Consider the following 14871-nt stretch of genomic DNA (forward strand, 5'->3'; position numbering starts at 1 on the left):
TCCTTTGCTATGTATTTCCCTTTTGAAATTACCTTAATGTGAATATTTGTTATTTTAATGGTGTCTCATAGGTCCTGTAGACTTACAGACTTTTTACATTCTTTTTTTTTTTTGGTCTGATTGGGTTATTTCAAAAGGCCTGTCTTTTGTTTTTTTTTTTTTGTTTGTTTGTTTGTTTTAATAATTCTTTTTTTTTTTTTTATTATACTTTAAGTTTTAGGGTACATGTGCACATTGTGCAGGTTAGTTACATATGTATACATGTGCCATGCTGGTGCGCTGCACCCACTAACATGTCATCTAGCATTAGGTATATCTCCCAATGCTATCCCTTCCCCCTCCCCCAACCCCACCACAGTCCCCAAAGTGTGATATTCCCCTTCCTGTGTCCATGTGATCTCATTGTTCAATTCCCACCTATGAGTGAGAATATGCGGTGTTTGGTTTTTTGTTCTTGCGATAGTTTACTGAGAATGATGGTTTCCAATTTCATCCATGTCCCTACAAAGGACATGAACTCATCATTTTTTATGGCTGCATAGTATTCCATGGTGTATATGTGCCACATTTTCTTAATCCAGTCTATCATTGTTGGACATTTGGGTTGGTTCCAAGTCTTTGCTATTGTGAATAATGCCGCAATAAACATACGTGTGCATGTGTCTTTATAGCAGCATGATTTATAGTCCTTTGGGTATATACCCAGTAATGGGATGGCTGGGTCAAATGGTATTTCTAGTTCTAGATCCCTGAGGAATCGCCACACTGACTTCCACAATGGTTGAACTAGTTTACAGTCCCACCAACAGTGTAAAAGTGTTCCTATTTCTCCACATCCTCTCCAGCACCTGTTGATCCTGACTTTTTAATGATTGCCATTCTAACTGGTGTGAGATGATATCTCATAGTGGTTTTGATTTGCATTTCTCTGATGGCCAGTGATGATGAGCATTTTTTCATGTGTTTTTTGGCTGCATAAATGTCTTCTTTTGAGAAGTGTCTGTTCATGTCCTTTGCCCACTTTTTGATGGGGTTGTTTGTTTTTTTCTTGTAAATTTGTTTGAGTTCATTGTAGATTCTGGATATTAGCCCTTTGTCAGATGAGTAGGTTGCGAAAATTTTCTCCCATGTTGTAGGTTGCCTGTTCACTCTGATGGTAGTTTCTTTTGCTGTGCAGAAGCTCTTTAGTTTAATTAGATCCCATTTGTCAATTTTGGCTTTTGTTGCCATTGCTTTTGGTGTTTTGGACATGAAGTCCTTGCCCACGCCTATGTCCTGAATGGTAATGCCTAGGTTTTCTTCTAGGGTTTTTATGGTTTTAGGTCTAACGTTTAAATCTTTAATCCATCTTGAATTGATTTTTGTATAAGGTGTAAGGAAGGGATCCAGTTTCAGCTTTCTACATATGGCTAGCCAGTTTTCCCAGCACCATTTATTAAATAGGGAATCCTTTCCCCATTGCTTGTTTTTCTCAGGTTTGTCAAAGATCAGATAGTTGTAGATATGCGGCATTATTTCTGAGGGCTCTGTTCTGTTCCATTGATCTATATCTCTGTTTTGGTACCAGTACCATGCTGTTTAGGTTACTGTAGCCTTGTAGTATAGTTTGAAGTCAGGTAGCGTGATGCCTCCAGCTTTGTTCTTCTGGCTTAGGATTGACTTGGTGATGCGAGCTCTTTTTTGGTTCCATATGAACTTTAAAGTAGTTTTTTCCAATTCTGTGAAGAAAGTCATTGGTAGCTTGATGGGGATGGCATTGAATCTGTAAATTACCTTGGGCAGTATGGCCATTTTCACGATATTGATTCTTCCTACCCATGAGCATGGAATGTTCTTCCATTTGTTTGTGTCCTCTTTTATTTCCTTGAGCAGTGGTTTGTAGTTCTCCTTGAAGAGGTCCTTCACATCCCTTGTAAGTTGGATTCCTAGGTATTTTATTCTCTTTGAAGCAATTGTGAATGGGAGTTCACTCATGATTTGGCTCTCTGTTTGTCTGTTGTTGGTGTATAAGAATGTTTGTGATTTTTGTACATTGATTTTGTATCCTGAGACTTTGCTGAAGTTGCTTATCAGCTTAAGGAGATTTTGGGCTGAGACAATGGGGTTTTCTAGATAAACAATCATGTCGTCTGCAAACAGGGACAATTTGACTTTCTCTTTTCCTAATTGAATACCCTTTATTTCCTTCTCCTGCCTGATTGCCCTGGCCAGAACTTCCAACACTATGTTGAATAGGAGCGGTGAGAGAGGGCATCCCTGTCTTGTGCCAGTTTTCAAAGGGAATGCTTCCAGTTTTTGCCCATTCAGTATGATAATGGCTGTGGGTTTGTCATAGATAGCTCTTATTATTTTGAAATATGTCCCATCAATACCTAATTTATTGAGAGTTTTTAGCATGAAGGGTTGTTGAATTTTGTCAAAGGCTTTTTCTGCATCTATTGAGATAATCATGTGGTTTTTGTCTTTGGCTCTGTTTATATGCTGGATTACATTTATTGATTTGCGTATATTGAACCAGCCTTGCATCCCAGGGATGAAGCCCACTTGATCATGGTGGATAAGCTTTTTGATGTGCTGCTGGATTCGGTTTGCCAGTATTTTATTGAGGATTTTTGCATCAATGTTCATCAAGGATATTGGTCTAAAATTCTCTTTTTTGGTTGTGTCTCTGCCTGGCTTTGGTATCAGAATGATGCTGGCCTCATAAAATGAGTTAGGGAGGATTCCCTCTTTTTCTATTGATTGGAATAGTTTCAGAAGGAATGGTACCAGTTCCTCCTTGTACCTCTGGTAGAATTCGGCTGTGAATCCATCTGGTCCTGGACTCTTTTTGGTTGGTAAACTATTGATTATTGCCACAATTTCAGAGCCTGTTATTGGTCTATTCAGAGATTCAACTTCTTCCTGGTTTAGTCTTGGGAGAGTGTATGTGTTGAGGAATTTATCCATTTCTTCTAGATTTTCTAGTTTATTTGCGTAGAGGTGTTTGTAGTATTCTCTGATGGTAGTTTGTATTTCTGTGGGATCGGTGGTGATATCCCCTTTATCATTTTTTATTGTGTCTATTTGATTCTTCTCTCTTTTTTTCTTTATTAGTTTTGCTAGCGGTCTATCAATTTTGTTGATCCTTTCAAAAAACCAGCTCCTGGATTCATTAATTTTTTGAAGGGTTTTTTGTGTCTCTATTTCCTTCAGTTCTGCTCTGATTTTAGTTATTTCTTGCCTTCTGCTAGCTTTTGAATGTGTTTGGTCTTGCTTTTCTAGTTCTTTTAATTGTGATGTTAGGGTGTCAATTTTGGATCTTTCCTGCTTTCTCTTGTAGGCATTTAGTGCTATAAATTTCCCTCTACACACTGCTTTGAATGCGTCCCAGAGATTCTGGTATGTGGTGTCTTTGTTCTCGTTGGTTTCAAAGAACATCTTTATTTCTGCCTTCATTTCGTTATGTACCCAGTAGTCATTCAGGAGCAGGTTGTTCAGTTTCCATGTAGTTGAGCGGCTTTGAGTGAGATTCTTAATCCTGAGTTCTAGTTTGATTGCACTGTGGTCTGAGAGATAGTTTGTTATAATTTCTGTTCTTTTACATTTGCTGAGGAGAGCTTTACTTCCAACTATGTGGTCAATTTTGGAATAGGTGTGGTGTGGTGCTGAAAAAAATGTATATTCTGTTGATTTGGGGTGGAGAGTTCTGTAGATGTCTATTAGGTCCGCTTGGTGCAGAGCTGAGTTCAATTCCTGGGTATCCTTGTTGACTTTCTGTCTCATGGATCTGTCTAATGTTGACAGTGGGGTGTTAAAGTCTCCCATTATTAATGTGTGGGAGTCTAAGTCTCTTTGTAGGTCACTCAGGACTTGCTTTATGAATCTGGGTGCTCCTGTATTGGGTGCATAAATATTTAGGATAGTTAGCTCCTCTTGTTGAATTGATCCCTTTACCATTATGTAATGGCCTTCTTTGTCTCTTTTGATCTTTGTTGGTTTAAAGTCTGTTTTATCAGAGACTAGGATTGCAACCCCTGCCTTTTTTTGTTTTCCATTGGCTTGGTAGATCTTCCTCCATCCTTTTATTTTGAGCCTATGTGTGTCTCTGCACGTGAGATGGGTTTCCTGAATACAGCACACTGATGGGTCTTGACTCTTTATCCAACTTGCCAGTCTGTGTCTTTTAATTGCAGAATTTAGTCCATTTATATTTAAAGTTAATATTGTTATGTGTGAATTTGATCCTGTCATTATGATGTTAGCTGGTGATTTTGCTCGTTAGTTGATGCAGTTTCTTCCTAGTCTCGATGGTCTTTACATTTTGGCATGATTTTGCAGTGGCTGGTACCGGTTGTTCCTTTCCATGTTTAGCGCTTCCTTCAGGAGCTCTTTTAGGGCAGGCCTGGTGGTGACAAAATCTCTCAGCATTTGCTTGTCTATAAAGTATTTTATTTCTCCTTCACTTATGAAGCTTAGTTTGGCTGGATATGAAATTCTGGGTTGAAAATTCTTTTCTTTAAGAATGTTGAATATTGGCCCCCACTCTCTTCTGGCTTGTAGGGTTTCTGCCGAGAGATCCGCTGTTAGTCTGATGGGCTTTCCTTTGAGGGTAACCCGACGTTTCTCTCTGGCTGCCCTTAACATTTTTTCCTTCATTTCAACTTTGGTGAATCTGACAATTATGTGTCTTGGAGTTGCTCTTCTCGAGGAGTATCTTTGTGGCGTTCTCTGTATTTCCTGAATCTGAACGTTGGCCTGCCTTGCTAGATTGGGGAAGTTCTCCTGGATAATATCCTGCAGAGTGTTTTCCAACTTGGTTCCATTCTCCACATCACTTTCAGGTACACCAATCAGATGTAGATTTGGTCTTTTCACATAGTCCCATATTTCTTGGAGGCTTTGCTCATTTCTTTTTATTCTTTTTTCTCTAAACTTCCCTTCTCGCTTCATTTCATTCATTTCATCTTCCATTGCTGATACCCTTTCTTCCAGTTGATCGCATCGGCTCCTGAGGCTTCTGCATTCTTCACGTAGTTCTCGAGCCTTGGTTTTCAGCTCCATCAGCTCCTTTAAGCACTTCTCTGTATTGGTTATTCTAGTTATACATTCTTCTAAATTTTTTTCAAAGTTTTCAACTTCTTTGCCTTTGGTTTGAATGTCCTCCCGTAGCTCAGAGTAGTTTGATCGTCTGAAGCCTTCTTCTCTCAGCTCGTCAAAATCATTCTCTATCCAGCTTTGTTCCGTTGCTGGTGAGGAACTGCGTTCCTTTGGAGGAGGAGAGGCGCTCTGCGTTTTAGAGTTTCCAGTTTTTCTGTTCTGTTTTTTCCCCATCTTTGTGGTTTTATCTACTTTTGGTCTTTGATGATGGTGATGTACAGATGGGTTTTCGGTGTAGATGTCCTTTCTGGTTGTTAGTTTTCCTTCTGACAGACAGGACCCTCAGCTGCAGGTCTGTTGGAATACCCTGCCGTGTGAGGTGTCAGTGTGCCCCTGCTGGGGGGTGCCTCCCAGTTAGGCTGCTCGGGGGTCAGGGGTCAGGGACCCACTTGAGGAGGCAGTCTGCCTGTTCTCAGATCTCCAGCTGCGTGCTGGGAGAACCACTGCTCTCTTCAAAGCTGTCAGACAGGGACACTTAAGTCTGCAGAGGTTACTGCTGTCTTTTTGTCTGTGCCCTGCCCCCAGAGGTGGAGCCTACAGAGGCAGGCAGGCCTCCTTGAGCTGTGGTGGGCTCCACCAAGTTCGAGATTCCCGGCTGCTTTGTTTACCTAAGCAAGCCTGGGCAATGGCGGGCGCCCCTCCCCCAGCCTCGTTGCTGCCTTGCAGTTTGATCTCAGACTGCTGTGCTAGCAATCAGCGAGATTCCGTGGGCGTAGGACCCTCTGAGCCAGGTGTGGGATATAGTCTCGTGGTGCGCCGTTTTTTAAGCCGGTCTGAAAAGCGCAATATTCGGGTGGGAGTGACCCGATTTTCCAGGTGCGTCAGTCACCCCTTTCTTTGACTCGGAAAGGGAACTCCCTGACCCCTTGCACTTCCCAGGTGAGGGAATGCCTCGCCCTGCTTCGGCTCGCGCACGGTGCGCGCACACACTGGCCTGCGCCCACTGTCTGGCACTCCCTAGTGAGATGAACCCGGTACCTCAGATGGAAATGCAGAAATCACCCGTCTTCTGCGTCGCTCACGCTGGGAGCTGTAGACCGGAGCTGTTCCTATTCGGCCATCTTGGCTCCTCCCAAAAGGCCTGTCTTTTGAAACTTTCTGAACCTGTCTTAAAGTTCAGAAACTCTTTCTTCTGCTTGATCTAGTCTGTGGTTGAAGTTCTTGATTATATTTTTTATTTCATTCATTTAATTCTTCATTTCTGAGATTTCTGTTTGTTTCTTTTTAAATGATATCTATTTCTGTTAAATTTCTCAGTCAGATTATGTATTGTTTTTCTGATTTTGTTGAATTGTCTACCTGTATTTTTTTTGTATCTCATGGAGTCTCCTTAAGATCATTATTTTAAATTCCTTCTCAGACATTTCATACATTCCCTTTTCTTTAGGGTTGGTTCCCGCATAGTTATTGTGTTCCTTTTAAGGTGTCATCTTTCCTTGCTTTTTTATGTTTTTTTTTTTTTGTGTGTGTGTGTGTGTGTCCCTTCATTGATATCTGTGCATCTGGTGGAATAGCTGCTTATTACAATTTTATGGAGTAGTTTTTGTGGAGGAAACTTTTTCACGCAGATGTTTCCTACAGTATCAGTTAGGTAGAGTGTTTTGGCTTTGGTTTTAGGTTGGTGCTGTAGTGTAGTCTCCAAGTGATTTCTTTGGCTGTAATAAATATCAGCGATGTCTGTGAGTGCCTCAATGTCCTAAGAACTGCAGGTGTTTGTTAAGGTAGTGGTATGGTTTTGCTGGGGACAGAGATGGGTCAGTTCTCAGGCCCTTGGTGTGTGTGTGTGTAGCATGTATGGCAGCTCTGCCAGTCATGGAGTTGTTGTCATCACTAGCAATGGTGGGTGCTGAGCAAACTGATACTTTTGCCCTGGCAGGTGCACATAATGCATGGTGTCTTCACTGGTTGAGGTGGATGGGGTCCCCTTAGTGGTGGTAGATACTACATGTGCTGGTCTTTGGGCCTTGGGGGACACATTTGTTGGTTACCTCAGTCTTGGGGATGGTCTACTTGCTGTGTTAAATCCCCCGTTTCTTAGGGTGCAGGGTGCTTCATGGGCTCATGTGCTATTGTCATGGTTGTACTTCCTGGTGTAGCTGGGGTTGTGGTGTTCCAGCCTTTTGTGTGAGCATGTTAGGTTGATGATTGGCCTCAAGGATGTGGAGATGCAGGAGCTATTGGCCTCTAGTGCAGGATGCACTCTAGCTCTGTTCTCAGAATGGCACCAAACTGTAGCATTTTGGGTCTTGGCAAGTAGGGGAGACCCAACATGAATTCCTTTTCTAGAGCAATGAAGCCATATGGACTCTAGGCAACTTCCTGTACTAATCTCAGGGCCTCTGAGAACTGTGGGGGTCTCCTGTAGCTAGGATTGCAGTAATCCACACTGGTAATGAGGATCTCCCACTTATCTTTTCCCAGCACTAATGAGTCCCTCTTGGCTCTGAGCCAATCCTGGTTGAATCCTTCATTTCCCTCTCAATGCTGCCATCCCCCTGGTTTAGTCTTAAAATAGATAAAGGAATATCAGTATAGAGCCTCTTCAAGCATCTGCTGACCTTCAAGGGCCATTAATTTAAAATAATCAACATATAAGGATGTTATATTTTGGGGGTGAAATTTCCTGAGCTCCTTCATAAGTTTTCAAGTATAATTGATTACCTCTTGGGTAGAGGGGGAGGGGAGAAATTAGACAGCACTTGATATTGTCCCAAAAGACACATTTTTTTCAAAAGAGACTGAATTTACTATTATAAAAGTAAATAGCCAAAGATGCCCTTAGTTAGAAAGTGTAAATTATTTCCGCTTACTACCTAGCAGGATGGAAGCTCAAAATCAAGATAAGTTTAGTTACAGGAAAGAAAGGAAAGGCCAGTAACATCAGACTGGATAATTTGGACAAACCTTCCCACTGGACACAACTAATATATATGTATGTATGTGTATGTATGATATATATGTATAGAGATATATATTAGTTATGTTATGTACATACATACATATACATATATCTGTAACTGAAGGCATCTAACTAAAGGCATATATATATAAAACAATTACTGGATTGACATGCAGGATGCAGGGAAGTCTGGGAACACTGAAGTTTCACCTAGAGAATATTTGCTTATTTGACATTGGCAGTTGATAGGCTGAGCAGTATTTTGGGTAGTCAAGAGAGCAATAGTCAGAGCCTGGGATCACATGTTTGGGGTTTCCAAGATGACCACTTATTTTATTAGCATAAAAACATCTCTGTTCTTGAACTTGGATTAATATGTTCCCAGACTTTAGGAGCCTAGCAGAAGAAAATAAAAGTACTTTCAGGAGAAAATAATATTATCTGTGGCCTATAACAATTTCTATACGGATGTTTTCAAATAAAACGTATAGCATATAATCAAAGAAAACAAAGGGACAAAATAAGTTGGGGAAAACCAGAAGAAAAATCAAGAAACATAAACAAACCCCCAGAGACCTGGAGATTGGAATTATCAGACACAGTCTATAAAACAGTGATATTTCTGTGTTTACAAACAGAAAGGCCAAGCCTGAAAAATTGGCCAGAAAACTAGCAGCTATAAAAAGTGACATTTTGTAATATCTTTTACAAATATTTGAAGAGATAATGGCTGAGACTTTTAGAACTGGTGAAAGACATCAATACACAAAAATCCAATGAATCCCATGGCAGTTGAATAAAAAGAAAAGTACATCTAGACACTTCATAGAGAAATTGCATAAAACAAACCAAATAGAAAACCTTTAAAGCAGCTATACAAACAAGATAGGCTGCCATCAAGGAAGCAACAATTGGATTTACAAATGAATTCTCAACAAATCTGCAGGCCAGAAAACAGTGGAATGACTTCTTCAAGGTGCTGACAATTATGACAACTGAAATATAAGCTCTACAAACCAAAAATACCCTTTGGATATAAGAAAATAGTATATAAATTTTCAGATCAACAGAAACAGAGATAATCACAATAAAATAAATTTCAATGGGTATTCCTTAGGTTGAAGGAAAATTACCCTGGATGGAAGATCAGAGGTATAGAAAGAAATGGAGAGCAAAGAAAGAGGTAAGTTTAAATTAATGTGGTTTAAAACAATGATAAAACTGTCTTATGGTATTTAGAATTCTATCTATCTATCTATCCATCTATTATCTGTCATCTATCTATCTATCTATCTATCTATCTATCTATCTATCTACCTACCTACCTACCTATCTTCTCTCTGTGTCTAAGATATTGTGATTTATAATAACAAATATCCATTTGGTCTTCAACCCTATTTTCTGGCACACAGCTCCTAAAACCCTTGGAATCTCCAATGTGATGTGTCTTATTTTATGCTAATGAGATGAGTGATGGGTGGGGGCTCCTGGATAGCCTCTAGATGAGGGGGGATTGCCAGGGAATCCAACCATGTGATTAGAGATTTGAAACTTTCGGCTCACTACAGGAGGGGAGAGGGAATGAAGGTAGAGTTGATCACCTATAGCCAGTGACTTAATTGATCACAGCCACAAAGTGCAGCCTCAAAAAAAAAATACCCTAAGGGAAGGGGTTCAGAGAGCTTTTGGACACATGGGGCTGCTAGAAAGATGATGCACCTGGAAAGGGATGAAAGCTTTGTACCCCTTCCCGCATAGCTTGCCCTATGCATCCCCATCTGTATCCTTTTTAGTATCTGTCATGGGTGCCACTGGCTGGGGCCAGCATTGCAGGTGGTAAAAGAATTTATCAAGACAGATGTGGAGAAAGAAATAAAGATTTATTAGAGGGAAAGTGCATTGCCAGGAAGCAAGGGGCAGCACAGCAGAGAAGGGGCTGTCTGCAAAGAGGCAGGAGCTGGAGGGAAGTTTTATAAGGTCATACTAGCGGGGCTTTGTAGATAAGGTCATTCTGGTGGGGCTACATGTGGAACAAGGTATCTGGGAGTAGGATGTCATGCCAGCAGATTGTCTGTGATTAACTGTCTTTCAGAACAATTGTTCTTCCCTACCTCAGGCCCTCTCCTTGCTGTGGCTTACTTATTTTATTAGGACTCCACTGTATCTTTTATAATAAACTGGAAAATGGAAATAAAGCACTTTTCTGAGTTCTGTGAGATGCTTTAGCAAATGACTGAACCCAAGGAAAGGGGCTTGAAAAACCCCAACTTATAGCTTGTCAATCAGAAGTTCCAGAGGCTAGGATTTGTGATTGGCATCAGAAGTGGGGCAGTTCTGTGGAGCTGAGCCCTTAATCTGTGGGATCTGACACTATCTTCAGTTAGATAGTATCAGAATTGAACTAAAGTATTGACAAGACATCAGCAAGTATTGTGAAATTACTTGGTATGGGGGTAAACCCCCATAAATCTGGTCACAGAAGTGTTTTGTGTTGAGTATGGACTATATCTTCCACTCTATCTATCTATCTATCTATCTATCTATCTATCTATCTATCCATCCAGAGAAATAAAATACATCACATCAACAAATATGTAAATTAAAATGAGGGTAAATGTAGTAAAGTGTTTTTTTTTTTTTTGAGACAGAGTCTCGCTCTAGGCTGGAGTCCTGTGGCCCAATCTCGACTTACTGCAACCTCCACCTCCTGGGCTCAAGTGATTCTCCTACCTCAGCCTCAGGTAGCTGAGACTTACAGGGGCGTGCCACCACACCTGGCTAATTTTTGTGTTTTTAGTAGAGGCGGGCTTTCACCATATTGACTAGGCTGGTCTTGAACTGCTGACCTTAAGTGATCCACCCACCTTGGCTTCCCTGGGATTACAGACGTGAGCCATCACACCCAGCCAATGTAGCCAATGTAGTAAAATATTATTATTTTCTTTCTTTTTACTTTTCTTTTTCTTTTTTTTTTTTGAGAGGGATTCTTGCTCTGTGGCCCGGGCTGGAGTGCAGTGGCGTGATCTCGGCTCACTTCAACCTCCGCCTCCTGGGTTCAAGCAATTCTCCTGCCTCAGCCTCCCCAGTAGCTGGGATTACAGGCGTGTGCCACCATGCCCGGTTAAGTTTTGTATCTTTAGTAGAGATGGGGTTTCATATGTTGGCCAGGCTGGTCTCCATCTCCTGACCTCAAGTGATTTGCCCGCCTCAGCCTCCCAAAGTGCTAGGATTACAGACGTGAGCCACCACATCCAGCCCAATGTAGTAAAGTATTCTAAGGCCTTTGTATTGTCCTGGAGGAGGTTAAAATAATATCAGACTTTGTTAAGTTGAGATAGATGTCATAATCTCTAAGGCAATCATTAAAAAACAAAGCAATATAATATATAACTTAGAAACTAATTGGGAGTATAGAATTATAAAAAATAATAAATATATTCAAAAGAAAGCAACACTTTTCTCCTAAAGTTTGTGTTACCCTATATACCACCTTTTATCTTTAACACATGCCAACATTCCTTAATCACCTTATGCAAAAAGAAGGGTTTATTATGTTAGGGTAAAAACAAAAAGGTCTTTAAGTAACATTTAGGAGTAAGGAGAACACTCATTCTATCAGCTTTGGGGTTAAGGGAGGATAAGAACATAAAAAGCACCATCTGAGAAGTTTTTTTTTTTTTTTTTTTTGAGACGGAGTCTCGCTCTGTCGCCCAGGCTGGAGTGCAGTGGCGCGATCTCGGCTCACTGCAAGCTCCGCCTCCCGGGTTCACGCCATTCTCCTGCCTCAGCCTCCCGAGTAGCTGGGACTACAGGCGCCCGCTACCACGCCCGGCTAATTTTTTGTATTTTTAGTAGAGACGGGGTTTCACCGTGTTAGCCAAGATGGTCTCGATCTCCTGACCTCGTGATCCGCCCGCCTCGGCCTCCCAAAGTGCTGGGATTACAGGCGTGAGCCACCGCGCCCGGCCAGAAGTTTTTAAGAGAAGAAATGTCCATGAGAAACATTCACGTTGATAATATTTAAAAATCTGTTTTTTCCATGGCCTGGAGATTCCAGAGGGCACAGGTGAAAGGTTTGCAAGAAAGGGTGGCAATACATATTGGATCAGCAGGAAAGAAACTAAGAGCAGTATAGGAAGGCATAGATTAGCAACGACGATTACTCCTAGTCAGTGAATAAGCATAACAGAGATAAAGGCATAGTGAATTTATCTGGCTAAATGATTTTCTAATTAACTAGTCCTGTAAATCCCCTGGTAAATCAAAGCTGTGTCAGAATATATCAACCAAGGACTGGGTGATTGAGCTTCCAAAAGAGCCTTTGTCTTGGATAAATGGACTTCGAACCGTCTAGTTTGTTCTCATGACTTGCTCTGTAGAAATGGAAGTAACCATTTAGCTTTCAAGTGACTTCATTTATATCTGCCTTGAAACTACAAAATTGTAATCGTTTTCTAAAAATAATATATCTGTTAATTAAATTTACCCTTCCCCAAAAGCTAGGTATTTTTTAGCCATGTAGCCATTCAAAAACTTGAGGTCATCTTTCCAAAAGGAATGAAGGAATTCAATAAACAACCAGCTGAATTATGTGGCTCTGGAGAGCTATATAAATTAATGTAGAATCCTATGTCTATTAGATATGCATAGTTGTATCTTATCGTCTCTTCTACCCGTTTGAAATTCCAGTTGGTGCTTCGTGTTCAGTAATTGTGAACTTACCTTGATTTCCCACAAGTCATCTCATAAGTAACTGTTCACATAAATTCACCAGCATAGCTCATTTTAGAAATTATATGTTCTATTTAATTCTATAGTTTATCAGTGGCAAAAAGTGCACTATAAATTTCATTCCTTTTGGGTTCAGTTCTCTATTGAAATAAACGGTGAGGCAGTAAGGGAGACAAAGACCTGACTCCCGTGGGCATTAAGTGAATTGATTATGGCTGGAGTGTTGCCTTGGGAGGGATGGCTGTTGCTTCAATGATCTGTTATTATTACTAGCTCTGCAGTGGAAGCTTCTGAAGAATTTTAATGATTTAAAAATCCTTATTCTAAAATTAAAAATCTAATTTGAATTCTAGAATCATAAACTGTTAGAAAAACACCTGGTAAAATATTTAGGGTCTGGTTTCTCCTGCTGCATTACATCTTCCAGGTGGAAGTGGAGTGAGAGGTGGTGCATGGAAAGAGCATTGATCACACCACTCCTTGAGGAGCGATTTTTTCCCCAATGTGTTTTCTGCTTTCTGTGCATCTGAGAATAGAGGCTCCCCAAAGGCAAAAACATAAGTTAGGAAAATGGTTTATCTCATATTAAGGAAAAAGTTATATGCAACTAAAATAAACTTATACTTGTTCTTTGCATATATATGTATGCTGTAATTCTTTGAAAGACTCTGTAAATTGATCTGATTCCATTGTTTGAACCAGGGAGGAGCATGTAAACTGGCATGTAGCTATTATAGATTGAGTATCCCTTATCAGAAATGGTGGGGACCAGAAGTGTCTCAGATTTCAATTTTTTTCCAATTTTGGAATATTTTCATTATACTGGTTGAGCATCCCAAATCTGACAGTTTGAAATCCGAAATAATCCAATGAGCATTTCCTTTGAGCGTCATGTTGGTGCTCAAGAAGTTGCAGATTTAGAAGCATTTCAAATTTCAGATTTTGGATTTGTAATGCTCAACCTGATTGATAAACTAGAGCCTGATGAGGAGGAGATGCTTAAATACCATTTGAAGGCAGATATTTAAGACCCCTCAGACATCTCGTTCCTGTCTTTGAGATGCTTCTCGCTCTATGTTGCTCTACCTTGAGCTTGAATTATTTCCTCTTCTCTTTTTAATGTTAAAAGTTACATTTTTCTTGTATTAAAAGTAATAATGCTTATGCAGTAGAAAATTACAAACATACACAATAAGGCCTGGGTGCAGTGGCTCACACCTATAATCCCAGCATTTTGGGAAGCTGAGGTGGGAGGATTGCTTGAAGCCAAGAGTTTGAGACCAGCCTGGGCAACAAAGCGAGACCCCCCCATCTCTACAAAAAATTGAAAAAATATTAGCCAGGCATGGTGGCATATGACTGTACTCAGGAGGCTTAGGTGGGAGGATCACTTGAGCCCAGGAGTTAGAGGCTGCAGTGAGCTATGATGGTGCCACTGCACTACAGCCTGGGTAATAGAGCAAGACCCTGTGTCAAAAAACAAACAAATGAAAACAAAGACACAGTAATATAAAGTTCATTATAATGGAGAAATTACACCCAGTTATAGCTCTGTTAACATTTTGGAGTGTTCTTACACGTAAAAAAATTTACATATATAGACAGACACACACCTATATAGAGTATACCAATGGTTCTTAAACTTGGGTGTACATTAAAAATCACTATCAGTGTGCTTTATGTAAGAAAGAATTATTGAAACTCCACTTAGACAATACTTAAAGAACAGTTCTTACCTTAAAAGATTGATTATAGTACAAATTTATTTTTAAGCGAAGATTGAAAGTGTATATGCATGTGAATATATTTATGCAATTATTTATCAAATATGTATATAGCTTTATATCTTGATTTTTCACTTAATATTATAAGTTTTTCCATATCATCAAAAGTCTCAGTGATCATCATCCATAATGGCCACAAAAATTCCGTCTTATAAAAATACAAAAAATTATTTATAGTCCTGTTGTTGAACACTAAGATTATTTCTTTTTTTTTTTTTTTTTGAGATGGAGTCTCACTCTGTCACTGAGGCACCCAGCCTGGAGTACAGTGGTGCAATCTCAGCTCACTGCCAGGTCTGCCTCATGGGTTCATGCCAT

At 40.2% G+C, this 14871-nt stretch overlaps 1 long non-coding RNA gene across 1 annotated transcript in view, besides 1 other annotated feature; it reads left to right on the forward strand.

Moving 5' to 3' along the window:
* Window positions 1-10236, forward strand: part of COP1-DT (COP1 divergent transcript) — a 58469-nt gene extending 48233 nt beyond the window's left edge. The window contains exon 5 of the long non-coding RNA NR_185981.1: window positions 9156-10236. This is a non-coding gene — a long non-coding RNA (COP1 divergent transcript). The remainder of the gene's footprint in view (window positions 1-9155) is intronic.
* Window positions 5347-5958: an enhancer, noted in NCBI's record as "H3K27ac-H3K4me1 hESC enhancer chr1:176230380-176230991 (GRCh37/hg19 assembly coordinates)". NCBI's record gives its function as "activates a minimal SCP1, AML or CMV promoter by ChIP-STARR-seq in primed H9 embryonic stem cells {active_cell/tissue: H9 hESC(primed)}" and the evidence as "EXISTENCE:reporter gene assay evidence [ECO:0000049][PMID:30033119]".
* Window positions 10237-14871: the final 4635 nt, after the last annotated feature.

Source organism: Homo sapiens, chromosome 1 (assembly GCF_000001405.40).
Source record: "Homo sapiens chromosome 1, GRCh38.p14 Primary Assembly".
In the NCBI taxonomy this organism is placed as follows: Eukaryota; Metazoa; Chordata; class Mammalia; order Primates; family Hominidae; genus Homo; species Homo sapiens.